The sequence below is a fragment of the Homo sapiens genome, chromosome 4 (genome assembly GCF_000001405.40).
Source record: "Homo sapiens chromosome 4, GRCh38.p14 Primary Assembly".
Taxonomy (NCBI): domain Eukaryota; kingdom Metazoa; phylum Chordata; class Mammalia; order Primates; family Hominidae; genus Homo; species Homo sapiens.
In genome coordinates, this window is record NC_000004.12 from 46329560 (window position 1) to 46355695 (window position 26136).

At 34.5% G+C, this 26136-nt stretch overlaps 1 protein-coding gene across 20 annotated transcripts in view; it reads right to left on the bottom strand.

Annotated features, from left to right (window-relative positions):
- Positions 1-26136, bottom strand: part of GABRA2 (gamma-aminobutyric acid type A receptor subunit alpha2) — a 146753-nt gene that overhangs the window by 86012 nt on the left and 34605 nt on the right. For 16 of the 20 annotated variants that reach the window (NM_001377146.1, NM_001377145.1, NM_000807.4 and 13 more), the window contains one exon: positions 3056-3123. The exons of the other annotated variants lie outside the window; for them this stretch is intronic. In NM_001377146.1, coding sequence (NP_001364075.1) covers positions 3056-3123 — 68 coding nt within the window. The remainder of the gene's footprint in view (positions 1-3055; positions 3124-26136) is intronic. 20 annotated transcript variants of the gene reach the window in all.

The following is a 26136-nucleotide window of genomic DNA, read 5'->3' on the forward strand; positions in this document are numbered from 1 at the left end:
TCTTTCCAGTCTTCAGTTTCTTTCTGATTTTGGAAGTGGTGACACTGTGGCCCTAGAAGTAGATATTCTATCTGCATTTCTTAATTCTCTATCACTTGAAATCTTCTTTTATCAATGTTTAAAAAAGAATTTAGCTGTCTTTTATTAGTTAATAATTCTTTATATCAGATTTTCCCTGTGATGTCCTGTGACTGGACTGTGTTTATATAGTATGCTCCCATTTGGTAGCTTTGTGATTAACTAGACTTCCTCTAAAACAACTGTTGGCAAGCCTGACTAAATGAGGTAAATAAAGACAGAAATAAAGTAGGAAATCTGACAAGAGCAGAGCAATCTCATAGAAATTTTTTTAGGCTAGATGAATTAAGGGAAATGTATTATTAGGGAAAATGTCTAGGGCCTTCAAGATTTTCAAAAACCTACTAAGATGCTGAATATGCATTTCATTTTTGAGAATATATCTATATTTGGGTGTGCATATACATACTCACTCACACGCATGTATTCTGAAATATAAAAAGAAAACTAAAAAATCAAAGTAAGTGGTTTTTTATTTAAATGTTATCAACTGAAATTCCACTCAATGCAACCTATATTGGTAGTGTGAGTATATTTTAATGTTTTCTATAACTTGTGGTAGAATCCCCCCAAATAAGAAAGCATATCTTGAGTCTGCTAAAAAATTTTAAAGTTCTTGGGTTCAATTTACAGATAAAGCACAGCTGTTTTTAGTTCAATTCAGATATAAAGTAGCTAAATGTGTTCTATTGCTAATGACTATATACCTAACATCAACTACCAACTTTTTAAATACGTTAGCAATCCCAAAGAGTGGTCACAACAAGGAGAGGTAGAGAATTAATCTAATCTATTATCATCACTGGAAAACAAAGGTCTGTGTACATTTTGGCAAACAAGTATGATGTGAATTTGTGTAAAATCCCCAAATACCAAACATGTCTTGCTAGAAATAGATATGTTTGCATTTATGTATGTATATATGCATATATATATATATATATATATATATATAGAGAGAGAGAGAGAGAGATGTTTTAGGTAAAATAATTCACTTTGCAAAAATCAAAGCTAAAATTTCAATGCAGTAACTGCTACTACTGAAATTTACAACATGAAAAAACTACAATATTGAAAATGTACTGATATTTGGGAGTCTTATATCATTTGCCTTTCTGTTTTGGCTGATAATAAGACACAAAGTACCATATTTAAGAGTAATAATTTATATAATATGCTAATTTCTCAATGTAGTAGTTAACAAAATTCTGACTCTACTTGATTTTAGATAGAAGTTAGGTGTTTATCTGCACTGTGTCTCTAACATTTGGGAACATTTAAGACAAGCTACACTAAGACAGAGTATTTACTAGGACAAAATTATATCTATAGCCAAACAATAACATTTGGAATGCACACTCTTGCTAAAACACATTGTCTCTGTCATCATTATAAGGATCTGTCCACTTAAATTGACCCATGGAAAGAGGCAGATTAATATTTCAGGTCAAAATATACAATAATGCCAGGGAAAAAGAAGGGTTATGCTGAAGAATAGGATTTTTTCCTCTTGTACCAGAATTGTGCCTAAGACCCAGAGTTGAAGGAGAAAAATAAAAGCACTTAAATCTTGACATTCCTGTTTCAAATAATTTTAATGGACTGCCAACATTTAGTATCAACCACTTCCAAAGAGGTGGGGATCACCCATCAACCACATGGGGCCTTACATTTTCAGCCACCCAGGTCAAGATAAGAAATCTCTGAGGTCAGAGGTGTGGCTCTGATGGAATAAACAGCATATTTTGTAACATAAAAGTGGAATTTAGGTTCTCTAACGGAAACGTAGGGAGCTCCTATTAAATTAGCTGATAATGTTTATGAAAGCCTATAAAAATGGAATACTTTTTGTTTTGTTTGTTTATCCAGGTAGAAAATGTCCAACCTTGTCAACTTTCCCCCTGAGTTATCAGAGAAAGGGAAGAATTTCATCAAAAATGTCTATTACAGAGCACCATAGTTAGCAGTAAAAGTGAAGGACTGATTATTAAATTTTTAATGCTTCATCAATAATTCATCTTTGGTGATTCCAGCCCACCAGTACCTAACACATCAAACCAATTTTCCTCACTTATCTATCTCATTTTATTGTATTTTAATTGATTGATTGATTGGAGACAGGGTCTCACTCTCATGCAGACTGGAGTGCAGTGGCAGGATCACAGCTCACTGCAACTTCGACCTCCTGGGCTCAAGTGATCCTCCCACATCAGCCTTCTGACCACAGGCATGTGCTATCACACCCTGCTAATTTTGATATTTTTGGGTAAACATGGGGTTTCACTATGTTGCTCAAGCTAATTTCAAACTCCTGGGATTAAGCAGTCCTCCCACCTCAGCCTCCCAAATTGCTGCAATTACATTTGTGAGCCACCACACCAGGCCTGTCTCATTTTAAAGAAAAAATAAATAATACCAGTTCCATAGAATCCAAGAGTACCAACATTCTAATTTTTTTAGGTTGATTTATATATACCTACTATGTGTGCAGATTATACGTATTGTATGTATGTAGATAGCATAACAAGGCAATCACTTTGCTCAATACCAATCAAAGGGTTTTTTGTTGTTGTTGTTGTTTTTAAATGTGATACACTGACCATGACCTAATTCTGTAAGAAGTCTTTATCTGTGAAACTATATTCACTTTCCTTATGGAAGTCCAGAATTCTGCCTTAATCCTCCTAGAAAATGTTTCTTCTTAATACAATTAATTTTATTTAAATAATTGTTTATTACACTGTAGTTAGGTAGACATGTTTTGAAAATGACGTAAAATACATAGGGCTAATCCAAACACTGAAGTTGGAAATGGAAACCATAGATCCAAACATCTTTAACTATCCATGTATTTGAGTAGACTAAATAGACATGAGACATATACATAATTCTATAACACTAAAAATGCTAGTTTATTTGAAATTACCCCCCACTCCCCATTATGTGAAGTAAAAATACTATTTAATGAAAAACTCACCATATCTGTATCTGAGACAGGGCCAAAACTGGTCACGTAGATGTTAGTGAAGACTTCAGTAATACTGTCTAATATGAGAAAAGAGATTGAATATAGATATTATATAATAAGAGCCACAGGAGAGAGAAGGGTTTGAGTACACGGTATGGTTTGAAAGCTGTGTCACAAATTCGGGAGTACTGGGTTTTACTTTCTTGTCAACTTTCGCAACCATAATGACTATAATGCTCAGTTATTTCATTGGTTTTCACCATCCTAACTGCAAAATGCATAGAAGTATTATGACATTCTTACTTGGAATCCATACCTGATTAGCGCATCCTCATTTATATTGCTCAAAATGAATAGTTTATTAGGAAACATCTTAAGTGAAATAGTTTATAATAAATGTGCTACCAGTAATAAAAATAAACCATGGTATTGTTTGATATAATCCTACATTCGATGTTCAACTAAATATTTCAGTATCTCGTGATAGTAGAGACTCAATTTACAGATTGTAAATCAGTATATCTTCTCCATACAGCACAAAACAGTTTGGTAATTATAAATAAACATAATTCCAATTAATATAAAAAGCTCAATCATTCAGTGACATAAAAATAAAAAATAACAGATTACTTTCAAAGAAGCTTGTTTTTAAATGTATTTAAGAATGCCTGAAATGCTAAGACTGAACTAAATTGGATTCTAAAATTATGTAACATAATAACTGTAATACAATTAACTGGATTGCTCTATCAACCAGGTAATTTAGATCTTTTATTTTAAATAAGCCAAATAGTGATGGGGAAAAGGTCAAAGAAAGATCAAAAAACAAAAATATTTTCACTGCTCTTGTAGTAGAAAAAAACACGTCATTAATGTTTATCATCATGAGCTAAATGTCTTATCCATTAGCTGTCAGATTTGTAATTCTACACAAACAATAACATGAATTGTTTTTTGTATTATACTAGACATTAATTTACAACCATTAGAGTAAACTATGTCTGGGATTTTGTATCCATTAAGGCAAGAATAAAAAATAGAAAGGATATTGATAAAACGGGGTAGACTTTGAATGCCTACTACATACCAGGTACTCTTTAAAGCACCTGAAATATTATAATCTGCATGTCAAACCTATGTGGTAGATTCTCTGTTACCCCTATGCATGTGTACAATGATTCAAAGAAAGGTAAGCAAACTTGCCAAAGACCCACAGCTAGTAGAGTAGATAAAACAATGATTTATAACCCAAGCAATCTAGTTTCTGAGTATTCAAACTAAATCAAAGAATTATACCATAGTCAATTATAAACTTAAAACTAACAGTAGTTTGTTTCTTATTAAATGCATGTTTCTATTCACCAGAATACTCCGTGCCAAAGGCATAGTTATAGTGCTCCAAATAAATATGTTCATTAAGCTTTGTTGTATATACTATTTTATCCCAAAAACTGTATTTTTGAAATTCTATTATAAAAGCATTAGAAAATAAATTTATAAAATTATTTCAGATGCCACCTACTCCAAAGACCTGTTCAGGAGCAGCTTTCTGTGTATACAAAGTACCATAGGACCCTGAGTTCAGAAAAGTCCCATGCTTCATTTAATGGTCTATCTGTGCTCTCTTTAAAAATCTTAATTATTTTTTAAACAAATGGCCCTGTATTTTTCATTTTGGACTGGGCATCACAAATTATGTAGCTGATGCTGAACCTGAATTTATATATACTAGAAAGCAAGTGTGGAAATGAGACCCGACATTTTTTTCCTTTTACCCACACCAAATTAATCACACTATTACATTTATTCAATTAGTAACTGAATAAAACTTTGTTATAGCTGTTGACCTAAAATGTTCCAGAGAAGAGAAATTAAAATGTGAAGGTAGCTTTTACCCTAAGAGAAGAAAGTGAAATGATTCTCCTTAGTTTAAGTAGTAAAGTTAGAATCCAAGAAATGACAAAAATGTGTGAATGTATTGATGCTAAGGATATGAATGGCATTCCCTATATGCCAAATGGCAAGTAAAGGGTGAAGGGGTATCAGTACCTAGTGGCTATAGGGAGGTGTCAGCTAAGAACTGACATGAAAAATAAGGTTAGCCTCAAAACTCCAAGCAGTAAGAGAAACACCTAAGACTCAGAACATAGACATAAAAAGTTATTTTTAGAAAAAGAAATGGTTTCATGGATTACTGACTTCATAAACATAGCTAAATAATGTATGCACTGGGGAGATATTGTCCTGCTATGGAAGTTCCGAAAAAGGAAAATCAGCAAGCCAAACACTGACGATGAACATCCAATAGTGTCTAAGTCTGGGAAAGGTATTCTTAACAATGAGTTTTTTGGTTTTTTTGGTCAGATTTCAATATGGATGGATGCACAGAGCTGTAAACAACCAACATGGGCTAATGAAATATTTTAGTGTAATGAATATAGATATTTGATACATCTAACACAATCTTCTAGAATTCTATGATCAAAACTCAATCTTTGGTTATATTTTGGCTTTCTATAAGACAAGGAAAGGGAAGTGAACAAAGAAAAAGGGAAAAGAAAGGAATGGAGGGGAAGGAAGGCTAGGGAGATTATATGAATGTAGGCTATTTCCAGTAGAATACAGGTTATTCTAATCTTGTGACTCTGATTCGTCAAGACATTTTATAGTATCATCTGCTCAGGTTTGTTTTCCCATGTGGATTTGGAACAAGGTGGAATTGTGCTGTTAGTGCCTGTTACAATATTCTGATCCATTGAACAGATGTATGTTACAGAGTAAACAAGTTAATTTACAGTCTGGTGGCAACCTGAGTCTCTGTGCATTTTAGGTACCATGATTCACTCTTCAGTCTTGATCACTCTTTTTTTGTTGTTTTTGTTCTTTAGATGGAATTTCGCTCTTATTGCCCAGGCTGGAGTGCAGTGGTGCGATCTCAGCTCACCGCAACCTCTGCCTCCAGGGTTCAAGTGATTCTCCTGCCTCAGCCTCCCAAGTAACTGGGACTACAGACGCACACCACGTCCAGCTAGTTTTTGTATTCTTAGTAGAGATGGGGTTTCACCATGTTGGCCAGGCTGGTCTCAAACTCCTGACCTCAGGTGATCCACCCACCTCGGCCTCCCAAAGCACTGGGATTACAGGCATGAGCCACCGTGCCTGGCCCTGATCACTCTTAGTTGACACACCAAAGTCTGTCCTGACTCAGAGCCTTCAAAATGGCCATTATCTCGCATTTTCTCTTTGGTTAACTGCTCCTTTGCATTTAAGTCTCAGTTTAAATGGTCTCTCTTCAGAGCAGGAGTTCACAAACCTCTATGTAATGTAAGCCCTCTTCTCTCATTTTTGCTCTCTGACACTTTCTTTTTATGGGACCTTTCAACTTTGCCTTTATTTTAATGCCTTAATATATTCTTCTTGCTTTTTGTCTTGTGTTTGGTCTGTCTCCCCATCCAGGATTTAAGCTCCACAAAGAACAGGGACTGCACTATTTCTGTTCACTATTATGTCATGAGGGCTTACTACAATGTCTATCACATGTTACATGCTGTATGTTTGAACAAATTATTTCTCATTTTAATTCATGTAGAATATCGATCTTTTTCCAAAATATATCATCAACTTTAAAAATGGTCATGCATAGCTGTTACTAGTCATGAGGAAAAGATGCCCATCAGTTGTGAAGGCAGAGTCCATTTCCATTGACAAAGGCAGGTTGAGAGTATAAGTAATAGGCTTCCAGTGAAGTAACAAAGCTGAGCAAAGGGAAAGAATGTACTTGAAGACAGCACTGATTCACTGCAAACCAAAATTGAAGTCTGAACAGTTAAGCAGCTCCTAGCAGAAATATCCACCAGCTAAATAATGGTTTACCATTAGCAGAAATATCCACCAGCCAAAATAATGGTTTACCAGCTAAATAGCTGACATGAGAATACCAAGAGTAATATGCAAAAGTAAGAGGATGTTCTGTACAGATTTCTCCAGAGGCAAAATACAAGGTTGATAACAGGTACTTTAGGAGAAATAAGTAATGCATGTGGCATACATAGAAGAATGTATAATCCTTAGAGCAATCATCAAATTCAGGATGGTGAAAGAGAACAGGAAATAGCCTGCAGACATGTACTGAGGAACACATAATGTATTCCTAATATTTCATTCTTTTAAAATTAATCCTAATCAATTTTGACAAAATCTTAAGATATGATGGGGGTGGTCACTGTTAATCTTACTCTTCTGTTACTTCTCTGATTTTTTTAACTGATTCATAGAAAAAATAAATGGCCTGAAAAGATATCCAAAATGCACGTATAAATAATTTCAAGAAGTATTTAATTAATGAAAAATTGCTTTTTTGCTGGGAAATGTAGTATAGAATAACAATAAAACTTCTTATAAAATCTTTGCAAAACTATGAAAGAACAAAATTGATGTTCAATTATGATTTATTTTACGATTCACTTAAAATAGATGGTTGAGGATAAAAAGTGAGTAAAGAAAAACATCTGCCTGTGAAAGACCCACAACATAATAGAAAAAAAGCATTTAAAAATTTGTAATACAAGAAATGTCTGCTGCAACCAAACCAAAAAGACAGTATCTCAATGCCCATAGAAGCATATTGGAGAAAGACATGGAGGTTTCACTCTTTTGTAATTTTCAATGGTCCTGAGCATCCTCTAATCCAACAAAGAGCAAAGTAAATATCCGAGGCAGGGAAACTCCTTTGTGCAAAAGTCAAGTCCCACAAATAATTAACTTTCACTCATAAACATGGTTAACATGTATATACAGAGGATGGAATGAGGTTGTAAAGAAAGGCAGAGTTGTATCAAAACAGACCTGATATGCCACAATAATACGAATGTTGTCTTTATATACATGGCAGCAGGAGATTCACTGAAAGACTTTGGCTTGGAGAATTTTGTGGCCAGGGCTATGTAACCAGATATATTATGTCACATTTATGTAGAGGGCAAGCCGAGACAAAGTAGACTGAAGATAGCGTATTCAGTTTGGAAGATGATGCCATTGTTAAGACCAAAAAAAAAAAAAAAAAGAGACTGAGATTAGCAAATGGTAGAAGTCAAGGAAATAATTTGTTTGTTTTAAAGTAATATTGCAGGGATAGGCCCTTTGGTTTGACTGTTAGAGGATGTGTGGAGCCTGGAAAGGAGTAGGTTCAGTAAAACTATAAAGACATAAAACAAATGAAGAGGTTTGGAAAGTAAATGGAGGGTAAGGACATGAAGAGAGTAAGTGGAAAATATTCTTTTTAAAAGCTTGTCAAAAAAGATTTTGACAAACACAATAATAGCTGAACTGTACTGGATAATATAACACACAATAGCAAGCAAACTTTCCAAACAAAAATTTCTAACATTTGGCAACAGCAAAATCCTTTCTGTAAATGATTGATGGACATTTGATAGGTATATTCTTTGTACCAGATCCTCCTTCTCTTTCTCCTCCACCGTAGACACACACATACACACCATTTTAAAACTGATTTTCTCAAGAGAGTGGTAATAGTACATGTAGAGTTGAAAAGAGAATCATAAAAATATTTCTGAAAGTTTTTGTGTGCATCATATGAAAGAAGAAGTGAATTCATATTGACCATTTATCGTCTGATCTAGGCAGTAACGATGTTATTCTAGGAATGGAAAATAACTCTAGGAAAATGTTCTCCACATCAGTGATGTTGAATCCAGGAAAACTAATTATAATTTGATTCACATGCAATTGAGCCAGTAAAGTTTCTAAGTACATAATCATCTGCATATTTAGGAAAAAAACTTAACCTCTTTTATCCTACTCTTACTTGTATTTTAGGTTATTGCATTAGCCAATCTTCAATAATTATTTTAAATAATAGTGAAAATAAAAATCAGGCATTCATTATTATTTTAAAAAGCTTATCTTTATAAAGTTAATAATAAATTCTGGGAATAAATTCAATATATCTCTTCCCAAAGTGAGGTATCCACAATAAATGGGAAGAGAAATATCTGATTTTCTGTCGTCCATATGTGTGCCAATTACTTGACTTTTGTAGGCATTTAAGACTGAAAATCTTGGAAAGTTGCAATTTCCCATTAAAAAAGATTATTTCCTCTCTGTTCCTATCCATAGATGTTTTTTCTTGGATTAATTCTCAGGCTATTATTTTCTATGGCTAATGTCTCCTACCCATTTCTGACCTTCTAGTCTTACTATTTTCTTGGAGTTTGAGAGTATAAATAGACAGCTACTGAGAAGTAGAAAGGTTGGACCAGTTTTCTGACTTAAAGCCACTGCAGTTTCAAAATATAGCTCAGGCAGTTAAGATGAGATGAAAGATTTCTTTTCACCATCTCTAAGGCTAATCAGGTTTATTGTTTCCTGTTGTTCATTATGGATGGGTATATAGTTCCCAACACAATGGAATATAGCAATGAGTAAGTGAGTGAGTGAGTGAATAAAGTTGTCATTCTGTCTTAAACTACAACCACTCCAAATCTCTCCCTAGCTCTACAGGTTCATTTATTTATTATTGTTTTCTGTTTGCCATATATATCTACTCCTATGGTAGACATGAGACACATGTGGCCATTTAAATTAAATTTTAATTAAATAAAATTAAATAACATTTAAAATTTTGTTCCTTAGTACACTGGTCATATTTTATCCATATGTGGCTATGTTACTATACTGGATAGAAGAGCCGAACATTTCCATTATCACAGAAAGTTCTGTAAAATAGTATTTGTCTATATCCTCCCAATAGAAGTTAAGTTCCATGAAGACTGGGGTTTTGTTTGCTCAGAAAGATAAAGCCATAGCACAGAATAGCCCTTGACATAGTATATGTTCTTAATAAATCCTGGTTAACTAAATAAATTCTTACTCTTAGTTCACAGTCATTTAAAGTAGACATAGCCTCTGCTATCATAATGAAGCTTATTATAGCCTAACAAAGAGAGATACTATGCAAAAAATCAAATAAATATACAATTGCAGACATGATATATGCTATCAGAGTATACAATAAAGGAACTTCTCCTGGAAACATTTTCTTCACTTCTTCTCCAGGACATCGTAATCACTTTATTTTACTCCAACCTTACTGGTTACTTCTTCCCTAAATCCTTCACTCCTAACTCCTAACCTAATAATATCGGAATGCCACAAATTTCAGTTTTTGGTGTTCTGTATTTATACTTCTTTGATGATTTATTTCATGTAGTCAAGGACTTCTGAATTTCTATTTGCAGTCTAGAACTTTCTTCCAAAATATAGACTTCTATATACAGCTGTCTACTTGGCTATCTAGTAGAGTTTTTAAACTTATCATGTCTCAAACAAAACTAATTTTCCTCTCCAAAATCATGGCATTTACAGCCTTCCCTATTGTATTTTATTTATTCTAACTCTTAGGTCACAAATATTGGTTTTATTCACAGCTTCTCTCTTTTCAACAGTAAATCTCTTCTCAAAGATAGGCACAATCCAAAGACTTCTTACCTCCTCTGTTGTTATGACTCTTAAAGCTACCATCATCTGTCTCTGGGAACACTGCTTGCACTCATTCACCCCTACAGTCTCTTTTTTTAAAAGAAAATAACAGATTTATTCAGATATAATTTATGTAATATAAAATACACCCTTCTAAAGTGTACAATTTAGTGCTTTTTGGTATCATCACAAAGTTATACCACATTACTCTCTAAACTTGAAACATTTTTATCACCACAAAGAAATCCCACATCCATTTGCAGTCTTTCCCAATTCTCCCTTCTCACAAGCTCTGGCAACTGCTAATTCAGTTTCTGTTTCTATGGATTTGCTTATTTTGAAAATTTTATTATAAATTAAATCCCTTCTATTCTATTCTATTCCAAATTTATAAAATTTTTGTCATGAATGAGTGTTGGATTTTGTCAAATTATTGTTTTTCACCTATGCAGATGATCATGAAGCATTTGCCCTTTTTCTGTTGATATTGGATATTACAGCAATTTATTTTCATGTGTTAAAGCAACTTGGCATTCCTGGCATAAATATAACTTGGTTTAGTGTATAATTTTTTACATGTTGCTGAATTTAATTTACTAGTATTTTGTAGATACATCTTTCAATTTATCTTTTGATTTTGTTGAGCTTCCTGGAGGCACAGAATAATGTTTCTCACCAATTGGGGAACTTCCTAACCATTATTTCTTTAAATAATCTTTCTGTCCTTTCTTTCCTTTCCTTCTAGAAATTCTATTATGCAAATGTTGGTATGCTTTATGTGTTCTCTAGGTCTTTAAGGCTGTATTCGTTTCTTCTTCTTTTTTTTCTTATGTTCCTTAGAATGAATAATCTCAATTAACCTTTTTTAGATTTATTGATTCTTCTGACTGTACCAATTTGTTACTGAATCCCTCTATTAAAGGTTTTATTTCTGTTGGTTTTTATATCCTGGGTTTCTATGAGATCCTTTAAAAAATATATGATGTCCATCTCTTTGTCATTATTCTCTTTCGGAGAGATATTGTTTTTATACTTTCCTTTTATTATTTAGACATTGTTTCCTTTAGTTCATTGAAAAGATCATTTAAACTTGTTGACTAGTAATTCTGATATCTAAGTTTCCTAAAGGACAACTTATATTGATTCCAGTTTTTTCTGTATATGGAACATATTTTCCTGTTTCTTTTCATGGGTCATAGTTTTTTACTGAAAACTTAAAACTTTAAATACTATATGATAACTCTAAAGATAAAGATAAGACATCCTTCCACTCTTCAAGGTGTGTGTGCATGTACGTGTGCATGTGCATGTGTGTGTATGTTGCTGTTTGTTGCTGTTGCTATTTTTTGTTTAGTGACTTTATAGGACTATTTCTGTAAAGCCTGTATTCTTTGTCTTTTGCAGCCATTGAAGTCTCTGCTAATAATAGCAGTGATTTTCTTAAATGCTTTGAACCAATAAGTTTCCCAGCCTTTGCACAAAGGTTCTGTGGGGTGAAAGGATTAGGGGGAAGTAACATCTTCAACACTCCAGCACAAAGTTCATAACTCTGCCTAAGCCTTCACTTCCTGCTTTTGCAAAATCTGAAGGCCATCCAATTTGGAAGATTAAGGCCATTTTAAGTCATTTTCAGGCAATTCTGCAAGGCTTTCTAGATTCCCAGGAATAGGTTTGAGGTTTTAAAAGCCCCCTATTGTCATCTCAGTCCTCAGTTTTTTTCTTTAGATTTTGCCCAGCTTTTTGTTAATCCCAGCTTATATCTCTGTTAAAATTACTGTGACATTAAACAATACCTGCTAACTGTTTTCATCAAATGCCCTGGAAATAGAGCTGTCCACAAGAGCAAGCTAAGTCAAGTCAAATAAAGATGAGCCCTGAGAGTGGACAGACAGGTCAAATGGTGACAGTTTGCTGGTGATGGGAGTTTTGGGGAAGATCCAACCCGATTCTGTCAAATCCAGTGGCTGCCAGACTGCCACTTTTCACAACAGAGTTGCAAGACTTGATTTTTAAGTTGTGCATGGAGAATGCAGAAAAGAAGATGAAACAATGAAAGTTAAAATGACACAAAGCTCAATGCGTTTAACAAGCTTAGGACATTTTTCTTGTAAATGCTCCTCAAATTGTTGCATGGCTTTGGTTAATTTCAAGAGTACTGAGAAGGTTGATTATATAACCTCTGCCACTGCTCTTGTTGCGTTTATGCAGGAGCAGATTTTTGGAGGTCCTTACTTTTCCATTCCATAAGTATTTTTCCACAGTCTCTTAAATCAGAAATCAGATTGTGCCAATTCTCTTCACAAAACCCCAGAATGTCTCTATATTTCACTCCAAGTATTAAAAGCTGTGGCCTTATATTCATGACCCACACAACACTTCATAACCATAGCCTGTTACTTTGTTTCTTCTCTGTTATTGCCCTCACTAACTGCTGCCTCGCTGACCTCTTGACTGTTCATTAAACATGCCTGATATTTCACAGACATTTACTTCTGCCTACGAGGCCCTTGTCACAGAAGCATAGCTTACTCTCTCACCTTACTGTTTTATTTTATTTTTAGAGAAAAGGTCTTACTCTGGTGCGTAGGCTGGAGTGAAGTCATATGATCACAACATCATAGCTCACTGCAGTCTCCAACTCCTGGGCTCAAGTGAGCCTCCCATCTCAACCTCCTGGTTAGCTGGTACTACAGGTGCACAGCACCACACCTAGCTAATTTTTATTTATTTATTTTATTTTAGAAACAGGGACTGGCTTTGTTGCCCAAGCTGGCCTTGAACTCCTGGCTTCAAGTAATCCTCCCACCTTGGCCTCCAAAAGTGCTGAGATTACAGGTATAAGCCACAGAGCCCTGCCTGTTTATTCATGTTTAACAAATATTTATATAGGGTTAACTACATGCCTGACACTTTCTAAGCTTTTTTAAAATAGTAACTTACTTAAGACTTTGTTGAAAGATCACTGTCTTCCGATAAGCCTGAAATGGACATTGTAATTCAAATTTCACCTTCCCTCCATCCCCAATACTTTAGATCTCCCTTACCTTGCCCTGTTTTTCCCCACTTTTTCCACAATAACATTAATTTTCAACATTCCCTATAAGTTTCTTACATATTGCATACATATTTTAAAATAAAAACTCTAAGAAAACAAAGATAGATTTTTCTACTGATATTTCCCAAGAACATATAATTTCTGGAACGTAGTAGGCTCTGAATAAATATTTGTTGAGGGAACCAACCATTTAGCCTGACTCAATTTGGGGTAGAGGAAGGGTAGGATTCCTTAAACAAATTATATACCAGTGATATAAAGAGGTGCATTATAAAGATCTTTTAAAAGTCTGTAAGTTTGAGTGAGACACATAAGAGAATATTAGGCCTAACCAGCATAGGGGAAACTGCAGATTCAAAGATATTGATATAAAATATAATTGGATCTCATGAGGAAATGAAAAAAAGTACAGAAAGAGAACAGAGAGGGAGTAGAAGAATAATACAAGGTGGATCTGAAGAAACAGGCACAGCTAACATGCACGCTTTGTAATTGTGTGAACTTGGACAATGAGTTTGATCTGTATAATATGTATAACTCAACACAGATAATAACTATACCTACCTTATGGTCTTGTTATAAAGATTAAATGAGTTACTTTATAAAATCACTTATAGCTGACACATACAAAGTAATATAAAAGATTTTGCCATCTATGTATATCTGTATCTAATTGGGGAGTTCCAGGCTGTGAATGCATACTCCAGAGTCCATGATTCCACTGAATAATAACTGGGCAATTTAGTTATCCTCTATGCACCTAAATTTCTTTATCCCTAAAAAGAGAAAAGTAAAAGAAGCCACCTCACTGGGTTCCTGTGAGGATTAAGGCTTGACAGGAGTACAGAACAATGCCAGATAATAATGTTCCATGATGCTAGCTATTACTAGTGTTACTATTATAATTGGAGTCCAAAAAGTAGATGAATATACCTAATATTGGAATACACACCAAGAAATAAAAAAGGACGCAGTCCCAACATTTAAACAATTTATAAATGAAAGTAAGCCAGGAAATTAGGCTAGAAAATAGCATACAGAGAGATAGTGACTAAAAGTAGAGGAGAATACAGTATCTCAAAGACTAGAGATTAGTGCTACAAAGGCAATTCACATTCCTAGGAAGGAAAGAGTGATGTACAGTTGATGCTGCTGAGAGATCCAGTAGTCTGAGGCCTGGAATATTTGCTTGATTTAGAGATCTTGAAGTCACTAGCAGAGTAAGGAGTGTGCAGAAGCCAGCTTGGTGTGAGAGATATTAGAGAAGAGGAAAAGACTAAAGAGATGTTCAAAAAGCCGTGAGAAATTTGACTGTGAAGGGTAAGAGAACTCTAGCAAAAGGGCAAGGTGGAGGAAAAGAGACATCTTTTTGCTTTGCTTGTTTAAGGCAGAAGATAGTTGAACATATGGCAAGGCAGATGGGAAAGACTGAGGTTGAAAGGGAGAAGCTGAATATACAGGAGAGAGAAAAGATCAATGACAGAGGAAAATTTTCTAGCACACAGCCAGGACATTAACTAAAGGGGATTGGCAACTACTACACAGAAGGAGGAGGGAAGAGAGAACATCCTTGATTATATCAGGAATGAGTAAGGAGCGTATTTAAACAAATGGAAATAGATTTTTAAATCTAGTGGTAAGAAAGTTGAAGATGTTCCTGGAGATAAATTTCTAGTTAGCTGCCAAATATATGTATACATTCTTATTATAATAAATAATGATTCCAGGTCAAAAGTTTTATAGTTTAGGTAATCCTATTAATAAAATGTAAAATATTGTATATCCATATGATATGGGTTGGCTCTGTGTCCCCACCCAAATTTCATCTTGAATTGTAATTCCCAAGTGTCAAGGGTGGGACCTAGTGGGAGGTGATTTTAGCATAGGAGCAGTTTCCCCTATGCTGTTCTCATGATAGTGAGTGAGTTCTCACGAGATCCAATGGTTTTATAAGGGGCTCTTCCCCCTTCACTTGTTCACACTCTCTCACCTGCTACCATGTAAGATGTGCCTCTTCCCCTTCCACTATGATTTTAAGTTTTCTGAGGCCTCCCCAGCCCTGTGGGACTGTGAGTCAATTAAACCCCTTTTCTTTATAAATTACCCAGTCTTGGGTATGTCTTTATAGCAGTGTGAAAATGGACTAATACACCACGTAAGACCAATTTAGTATCTAGTGTCAGCTCGTTGTCCATATTCCCTTGACAATCACAATTCCTAAACATACAATGGTGTTCTACTGCAGCTGTGATGCTCTGCCTGAGGGCTTTCTCTGGTGGTGAGGGTAGACTGGAAGTGTACAGAGTTTATGTTCCTGAGAGCAACTAGCAATTAGTGACTAATGGGAGATGGAAGAAATATAACTCAGCTTTCTCTCCCCATAAGTAGAGACAACCCTAAGGCATGTTCCACGTCACTCCCCAAGAGTCCACAGTGGTACTAAACCACAGTTGTCCTGAACAGTAAGCTGCTCATTAGGATACCTTGCATTGACGTTCTTTCCTAACTGGCTCACTTTGCCACTCCCTCTTCTAGTCCCTCCTGCTACCATTTCCCAAATAAATCCATGTTTTAGAGTCTGCTTCTGGGGAAAATGAGAGGCAACTACAAACATCCTTCGCTTACCCTAAGAAGGAAAAATGACAATAGTTACAGACACAAGAGAAATATCAATTATATTCACTGGTGCTAACCATCCAAGCAATAAGTTATACTGTCTTCATCCCTGTAATTTAGATTTTAACAGTGATATCAGTAAAGACATGAATGTACAATGCTGAGAGTAAATCAGGCTGTAGATGACTTCCCTTGAAGATCACGATGCTAATAATTTTGCTCATCTTGTATCATAACTAGAATGTCACGCACACATTTTAAGATGAGTTAGTCATTGCTGTGCTTTGCCTTACACTCTCAGCAACAACAAAGACATTTCGCTTTCTGGGATGATTCCCATAACACCTACATGTGCCATTTGTCATCCATCAATTGAATTAAAGTCAACAAATACTTAAGTGACTTCTGTGTATATGGTACTTAGTGTTCTCTAGTAAAAGTTAAAAACATTAAATTAGATAATAAAATTGTCTCCATTCTACCACTAAGGAACGCTTGCCTCTTACCTAGTATCCTACTCCCAGTAGGCAGTCAACATACATTTGATAAAAAGGATGACTCAAACAATACAGTACTGTATTTGGACAGTCAACAAAGGGTCCATAAAGGCGGGAAGAGTTAAGAATAATAAAAAAAACTCGGCAAGTATTTTGTTTAGGTACAATCATTTTTTAGTATAGTTCTAAGTTTTGTCTTTGATATATTGTAATGATTTGGAAAAGTGAAATATAAACATACGTTTAATATATTACATATCCTCTTAGTGTAAGATTCCTGATGCTTTTAAAACGTGTTGCATATTTATGTATTATATTTATTATTTTTATTTATTATACTTAAATATTATATTTATTATATTTATTATTGTAGTTTTCTTTGTTTACATTTATTTTTCCAAATTAATTATGTTACATTTATTTTTTAAAGTATAGACTATTTGGGAATCCTGAACAAGAATGCCTGTATGTGCACAATCACCACTTCTATTCAACAGTACTGGAAGTCCTAACCAGAGCAATTAAGCAAGAAAGAAAAATAAAAGGCATCCAAGTGGGAAAAAAAGAAGTGAAAATTTATCTGTTCACTGACAATATATAGAATGCCATAAATAATCCATCAAAAAGCTGTCAGAGCTGATAAATTAATTAAAGCTGCAAACTACAAAGTTAACCTACAAAATCAGTAGCATTTCTATATACTAACAATGAACAATCTGAGTCCTATTTACAATAGCATAAAAATACTTAGGAGTAAATTTAACCAAGGAGCTAAAAGATCAATGAGAACTATAAAATATTGTTGAAATCAATTGAAAATGACACATATAAATGAAAAGATACCTTATGTTCATGAGTTAGAAGATTTAATATTGTCAAAATATCCATGCCATCAAAAGTGATTTACAGATTCAATGCAATTCCTATCAAATTTCTAATGTTGTTCTTCACCGAAATAGGAAAAACAATCTTAAAACTTGTATAAAATGACAAAATATCTTGAATAGCCAAAGCAATTTTAAGCAAAAGAAAGAAAACTGGAGACACCACACTACCTGACTTCAAAATACATTATAAAGTTATAGTAATCAAAACAGCATAGTACTGGCATAAAACTACATATATCAACCAATGGAATAGGATAGAAAGCACAGAAATAAACCCACATATCCAAGGTCAATTGATATTGAACAAAGGTTTGAAGAACACATTTTGGGGAAAGGACAGACTCCTCCATAAATAATGTTGGAAAAACTGTCTATCCACATGCAGAAGAATGAAATTGGACCCTTATCTTATCCCTGATACAAGAATCCACCCACAATTGATTAAAGACTTAAATATAAGACTCTAAACTATCAAACTACCAGATTAAAACATAAGGGAAAGCTATACAGTATTGGTCTGGGCTATGATTTGTTGGATATGACCCAAGAAGCACAGTCAACAAAAGCAAAAAATAAACAAATAGAATTGTATCAGACTAAAAAACTTTTGCACTGCAAAGGAAACAATTAGCAGATGGAAGAGAAAAAAACACAGACTGGGAGAAAATATTTACAAATCATAAGTCAGGTAAGAAGCTCATATCTACACTATAAAAGAAACCCAAACTACCCAATAACAGGAAAACAAATAATTCTGTTTAAAAGGTTCTAATTAAATTAAAGAGCTTCTGCATAGTAAAAGAAACTACCATCAGAGTGAACAGGCAACCTACGAAATGGGAGAAAATTTTCACAACCTACCCATCTGACAAAGGGCTAATATCCAGAATCTACAATGAACCCAAACAAATTTACAAGAAAAAAACAAACAACCCCATCAAAAAATGGGTGAAGGATATCAACAGACACTTCTCAAAAGAAGACATTTATGCAGCCAAAAGTCACATGAAAAAATGCTCATCATCACTGGCCATCAGAGAAATGCAAATCAAAACCACAATGAGATACCATCTCACACCAGTTAGAATGGCAGTCATTAAAAAGTCAGGAAACAACAGGTGCTGGAGAGGATGTGGAGAAATAGGAACACTTTTACACTGTTGGTGGGACTGTAAACTAGTTCAACCATTGTGGAAGTCGGTGTGGCGATTCCTTAGGGATCTAGAACTAGAAATACCATTTGACCCAGCCATCCCATTACTGGGCATATAACCAAAGGACTATAAATCATGCTGCTATAAAGACACATGCACACATATGTTTATTGTGGCACTATTCACAATAGCAAAGACTTGGAACCAAGCCAAATGTCCAACAACGATAGACTGGATTAAGAAAATGTGGCACATATACACCATGGAATACTATGCAGTCATAAAAAATGATGAGGTCATGTCCTTTGTAGGGACATGGATGAAACTGGAAACCATCATTCTCAGCAAACTATCACAAGGACAAAAAACCAAACACCGCATGTTCTCACTCATAGGTGGGAATTGAACAATGAGAACACATGGACACAGGAAGGGGAACATCACACTCCGGGGACTGTTGTGGGGTGGGGGGAGGGGGGAGGGATAGCATTAGGAGATATACCTAATGCTGAATGACGAGTTAATGGGTGCGGCACACCAACATGGCACATGTATACATATGTAACAAACCTGCACATTGTGCACATGTACCCTAAAACTTAAAGTATAATAATAATAAAATTTAAAAAAAAAGAAATTGCCACAGCTATCCCAATCTTCAGCAACCATCACCCTGATGATCGAGCAGCCAACAACATTCAGTCAAGACCCTCCACCTGCAGAAAGACTGTAATTTGCTGAAGGCTCAGATGATTGTTGGCATTTTTTAGCAATAAAGTATATTTAGTTAATGTACATTTTTGAGACATAATGCTGTTTCACACAATGGACCAGAGTGTAATGTAAACATAATTCTATATGCACTGGGAAGCGAAAATTTATGTGACTCGCTTTATTGAGATATTTGCTTTATTGCAGTAGCCTGGAACTGAACCTGGAATATCTCTAAGGAATGCCTGTAGTTACATTATCTTTGAAATATGGCTTTTATGTAGGGAATCTGTTTTTATCTCCTTGTTGGATATCATATTATAATAAAGTATAAGGCTATAGAAATCCTATCACACTTAAATATGAAATAAGTGAAATTTATACTTATGGATAATTAGTATAATTTACATGTAGGAAAATTGTTATGATGGTACATTGCTGAATTACATTAATCATATATGGGAAAAAATTTAAAGCAATGTTTTAGATTTAGATGCTAAAAAACATAGGTTTTAAGATCGGTTGCTTTTGTTTCAAGTAGAGTTTGGTTTTCATTTTCAACAATCCAATATTTTTCTTCTACAACATTCCAAAGTTAAATGCATTCAGAGCCTTGTTGGCAATAGTACAAACCCTTGCTATCTTTCCCTGGATCTCCTGGATCAGTCTCAAAAAGAAACTCAGTACTTATAACACAGAGCTTATTGATATTCTAATTTGGTGATAGTATCACTTTCTTCTTAAAAATAAATTTAGCTTAAAGTAGTATAAAAGCAAAAATGAAATCTACTAAAGTGATTAACTTTACCACATATTACTGGAATGTAGTTTCTTGAATGTATGTATATTGGAAAATATTATGATTACTCTATACTTAACATGTAATTAAGAACTTTTAGAAACTTAAGTAGCAACCCTTAAGTACTTGTCATATCTCTTGAATTCCAAATGTGTGATAATAAAAGGAATTTACCACCTATTAAGCATTTACTGTATGCTGAACTAGATTAAATTTATATATATGATCAAAATTTATCTTCATGATCCCCCATGAACTGTAATTATATTCATTTTATCATCATCCAAATTCAACAGCTAAGATGAGACAGATCTGCATTGAAATATTTTACTCTGATATGAAATCCCATTCTCCTAATCACTACAGTAATAAAATGCTAGTCACAAACACAACCAGTAAAAGGATTTTTATTTAGCTTATACCAGTATCTTGAGTAGTCCCAGTATAGTCAAACCATGTATATGTACTACACAGTCTTCATGGGCCAGCCTCATGTTAAATGTTTGGGAGATAATATAGAGATAATAATAAACTTACAGTCCAGTTAAGAAGTCAATGCTAGTTATGAAAACATAGCAACATTTAAAATTTTCATCTCATTATATGTATGATATATATGTAGGTATATATTATCTTTGTTCTATATCATACATCATACATATATTTGTATATATATACACATACATACATACCTGTATATAAATACACATGCATCTATCTATATATGTCTCTGTCATATCTAGATCTTAATTTTGATGTTGAACTGCCTCAAACTTAAATTAAAATAATTATACCACTTTATCTTAAATCTGAAACTTCCAAAGAGAGCTACATGAAGACACTGAGAAATGGATAAATGAATGTTCTTTCTTACGTCCTTTCTGATTTCATTCTTTTTCCTCCTTCCAAAAAAAGAATTAAAAAAAATTGAGTGCCTATTATACTATTTAATATACTAAGATAAAAGACAAATAGAAAACATAGTATGTAGATAACATAGTCATGGAGGAAAAAGAAATAAGTAGACAGATTATGTCCATGAAGTGTGCATAAATCATAAAAATAATCAAAAGTGCAAAGGTGTGGTGTAGGAGGTAAGAGATAGGGGGAGGGGAGGCACATGATTCTGAACTCAAAGCTGGGGAGCCAGAGAAGCTTCCCAGAAAAAGGCTTTCCAGACCATCCTTATATCTATAATGCATATGTCTTTTTGTTAATTTTTCTTCTGCTTTAGGAGCCTTTCCTTTCTATCACTTCAACTCATTTTATTACATGGTCTCATTGTTGGAGACTTAAAAAAAAAGGAAGACGGGGGGCTATTAACCATAGTGAATATTAATACTTATGATAAGTTCCTTTGATGAAACTCTAGGAGATCTAGAGTTTACTTAGAAAGAAAATAGATGCAGCATAGGGTTTGGAGCTCAAAGTGAGTGCAGAAATTCATAGAAGAAATTTAACAAAGAAATTCACTAGACGGGAGAGAGATGAAAGGATGAAATAAAGATAACTATTAAATTAAGCTAATGATTGAATGTTCTAAAAGTCCTTCAAAATTGTTTTGGAGGCTACACCTAGATCTGATCATGAAATATTCTCTTTAATTTAATGCAAGTTCTTAAACTCAGCATTCTTTGCAATTTACAACACTTTTACTTTATTCTAAATCTGTCTCTGAATCCTAATTATGTCCATACCTTTTCCAGACAATAAAATATTCTTAGACAGTTCCCACCAAAAAAGTAGAGAGACAAGAAATATATTTTCTACAGACAAAATTTTTAAAAGATATATGAATGGATAATAACATTGAAGACATAGATAAGAAAATAATCTTCCAAGAAAAATGATTACAGACCATGTCTGAAATGAAAAGCTGTATTTACTATTTATTAGTCTAAAACATATCTTTAATTTCTCAGCATGATCATATCCATAGAAAATATTTTAATGTAAATATTCAAGTTCCTTTATTCTTTCTTCATTTGCACTCAAATTTTATCCTTTCCTTTATCTGTTTTGATACACTATTAGGAATAGTTGATCGTTTTTTTCCTACCCTAAATTCAGTTGTCACCATATCTTCTTATAAAAGTATTCGTTATATAAACTTATAAGTTGATACATTTGGGGTTTTACCAAAAACTGGGTTTTTTTTTTTTACCTGTCCACTTACTTGTTCCTGCCATTCCTGGTAGTCTTTTAAGCTGCTGTTTCAGCTCTCCAAGCAATTTTCAAAGGCAGCTATGGTACAACCCCAGCTAACAGATCAAAGAATTCGCCCCATGTTTGCCTTCACTGAACTCAGAACGTGGGACGGTTAGACTTTTGCTGTAAAGGCAGAGAATCACTATAAATGAGGCTTTGCACTTCTTGTAATGAAAACACATCCAGTTTGTACTCTCAGGGACAGTTACAACTAAATCAGGGTATTTCATGTATGCCCTGATACTCCTCACCCAAGCTCTCCTGTTTGGAATTGGCATGACATTTCTGAACTCTGTTTACAACTGTTGAGCCTCAACATTCTGCTTGTATTTGTGAGTCACAGATTATGAAGAAAAAACAGAAATTGTAAGTAAGCTACATAATTTATTTTTCCTCTGGTCCTCCCAGAAATAATAATGTCTGCTTCTTCTCTCAGTGTGAACGTTTTTATGTATCCCATCTGTAAATGTTCACAAGAATATAAATCCAATACAAAAACGAAATGCATCATTTCCTGAAAGCATTGTGGCAATTCTCTTCAGTTCCTAAGGATATATCAACACATAAAGAGAATAACGGAGATCCACTTCTGCCCACATAAGAGAAATTTTAGACAGACCCTTTGGGGCTTATTTTGTCAGGTAATTGTATCCATTGTCCATTTCCATTCACTGTAGAGTACTTGTCTCTATATATCCAGAGAACAATCTAAGGCTCTTAAAAGGGGAGACTGCTTTCTGCAATCAAGAAGGATGTGAGCATCCATATTGACTTTGGAGAATGTCTATGGTAAAGTGCTTGGATCAGACAATGTAATGGGAGGTGAAAAGTCAGGACCAGAGTAAGTTTAACCCAGCTGTAAAGGAAAAGAAATTTCTCTCTGAAAGTCTTCACTGTCTTTTCATGCCTTACTGTTTTCTCTCAGCAGTAGAGTTGTCTCCATACACTTTAAAGTTTCAGCTATTGTTTACTCAGCACCAATTTTGTGCATATCATTTTTAATAAGTTCTATGGAGAATATAAAGAAGTACAAGTGTGTTCACTGTTCTCTTTTAAGTGTGGAAAACAAGAAGCCACAAATTACAAAATAACAATAATCATATTTAAGATAATCCTTCCTGATGCTTAAGCCAAAGCCTTGTAATTATCCTTGACTTTCCTCTTTCACACCCATATCCAATCCATCGGAAATCCTGCTGACTCCATCATCAAAATATATCCAGATTCCTATCACCTGTCAAGAATTCTACTGCTCCCACCCTGGTCCAAGCCACCACTGTCTCTCACCTAGGTAAAAGCAGTGCCCTCTTGACCAGTCTCCTTGCCCAGACAGTCTACTCTCACCACTGCAAACAGACTGGGTCTGATAAGATATAAGAAAATCAAATCGTGCCATGGCTCTGCCCAGAACTTTGCAATGATTTCTCATTTTACTCAGAAGTAAAAGCCAAAGCTCTTACAATGGCCAGCAAGGCCATAAGTATCTGAGCTGTCCTCTCTGTTACACATCTGACTTCATCTCCTGCTAATCTCACCCTCTGTGTCTTTGCCTCCTTTCTCTGGGCATACTCCTGTTTCACATCTTTTGAACTGAATGCACTCTTCCCTATTGTAGAATGCTATTTTTTTCAGTCATCCATATAGGTGACTCCTTCAAATTTCTATAAGCCCTCATCAAAATCTCAACATCTCAATGAGGCTAATATTAACAGCACCATATAAACTGAAAAAAAGTTGTTCATCTTGCTTCCAATTCTCCCACTTCTTATTTCCCTGCTCTTATTTATTTTTATTTTCTCCGTAGCATTCGATACTTCCTGACATACTACATATTTCACCTCTTCACTATGTTTGTTATTTATTTCCACTCCATTCACTAAGATGTAAATTCACAGGGGCAGGAATCTCATCTGTTCACTGATAAATTTCAATGGATTAGAACAATTGCTGGCACATACTTAACACTCAATAAATATGTATTCAATAAATTTATGAAGAATTAATAAAAAATAGTGTCCTTTACTGACTGCATTCTACCTGCCAGTGCTTTGCTAAGTATTTTGCACACATTATTTTATTTTGTCTCATAAACCCTATGAGGTAAGGTATTACTCCTCCTCTTGGCAAATGCAGAAGCCAACATTTAAAAAAGTTTGTTACTTGCCCAAGGTTACACAGCAGGTAAGTGGCAGAGCCAATATTGAAACTCATATCCAGCTCTAAAGCTTGGATGTTAACTGCTGTGACATGTTGAAAGTAGCAACTTGTTTTACTACACAGTTCTGCATAATCATGAGTTTCTGTTGTGTGTAGGAAAGGATTTAAGCTTTCTGGACTGAGAAGCATAAAGTAATTATCAAAAAATATGTTATTCCAGAATCTAATCCTAATTTAGAAAATGTTTCAAAACAAGACACTGGCTCATAATATCTATAGAAAAAGGCAAGAAAAACACAGGGAACAAGGGTGAATTTTAATTGGTTATCCTTTTCATTCATCTCATCATAGTCTGATTCTCATTTTTCTCTTGGGGATGGCTTCTAAGTGTCTCTAATGATTGATCTCTGTTCTTGACCTCCAATTAACACAAAAACCAAACTATTGGTAAATTCATCATTTTAAAATGAGCCAGGTGGCTTTTAAAAAAACCTTTAAGCGGCTTGTTTGGAATCAGCTGACCCTCAGCTACTTACTCTCTTGATTCCTCTTGATGTCACACACAGTTTCAAGAATGCTAGCACTTAGTCCCAGCTTCATGAAGCAAGGAAATCCTTTAACTTCCCTCACTTGTGGTGCCAGCGTATCCGCTTGCCACTCTTTTTGTACACATTACATTATTTTAAGCTTGAATTTGTCATCCAGTTTTGCCCCATCTGTGTCATGGCTGGCTCCACCTGTGTCTCAGATTATAAACTTCCATGAGAGGAGAAGAGATCTGGATATAATTATACATACTAAGTCACTTTATACAGACCTCACAGGCAGCCATGAACTGAGTAGACTCTTAATATGTGCATTCTGATAAAAATATCCTAGTCTACTCCCTTCCGAGGCACCCTCCACCCACGTCAACACTTCACTTTCTTTCTCATTTGCCTGGTGAGTCATATCAGTGCTAAAAATTTATATTAAATGCTTCAATCCCAATGTCTTACTTTATTTTTTGCCAGCATTTTCTTAACCTGAATAGTCCTTATAATTGTAATTGTTCACTTCTTGCGGTATAAACATAGAGGAATATATAAGCAGTCAACAGACTCTTTGCATTTCAATGCACTAAACTATATTTTTTTAGAATTAAACATCCATCATGCTTTAAAAATACTCCAACAGATTGTGTTTCTAAATGGTGCCTTAAACAGCAGTTGTCCTTTCCTTTGCAAACTCAGTAAAGGGATAATATATCCTTTGGGGTCAGGCTATGCTCCATTTTTTCCCCCAGTAGACCCTTTAACTGCAAATAACTTTTCTTAAATGGATTCTCAAATTTCCTTTTAAATCAAAGTTATTATTAAGTCAAAGAAAACTAGAGAAGAATTGTTACAAGTGCCAAGCATTCACTTTAGCACTTCCTGCAGGGAAGCTCATTTCAATATGTAGCAATTCTGATTCTCCCTTTGCTAAAGATCCTGCCAAGCACAGGAACCCCCAAATAATCAGGGC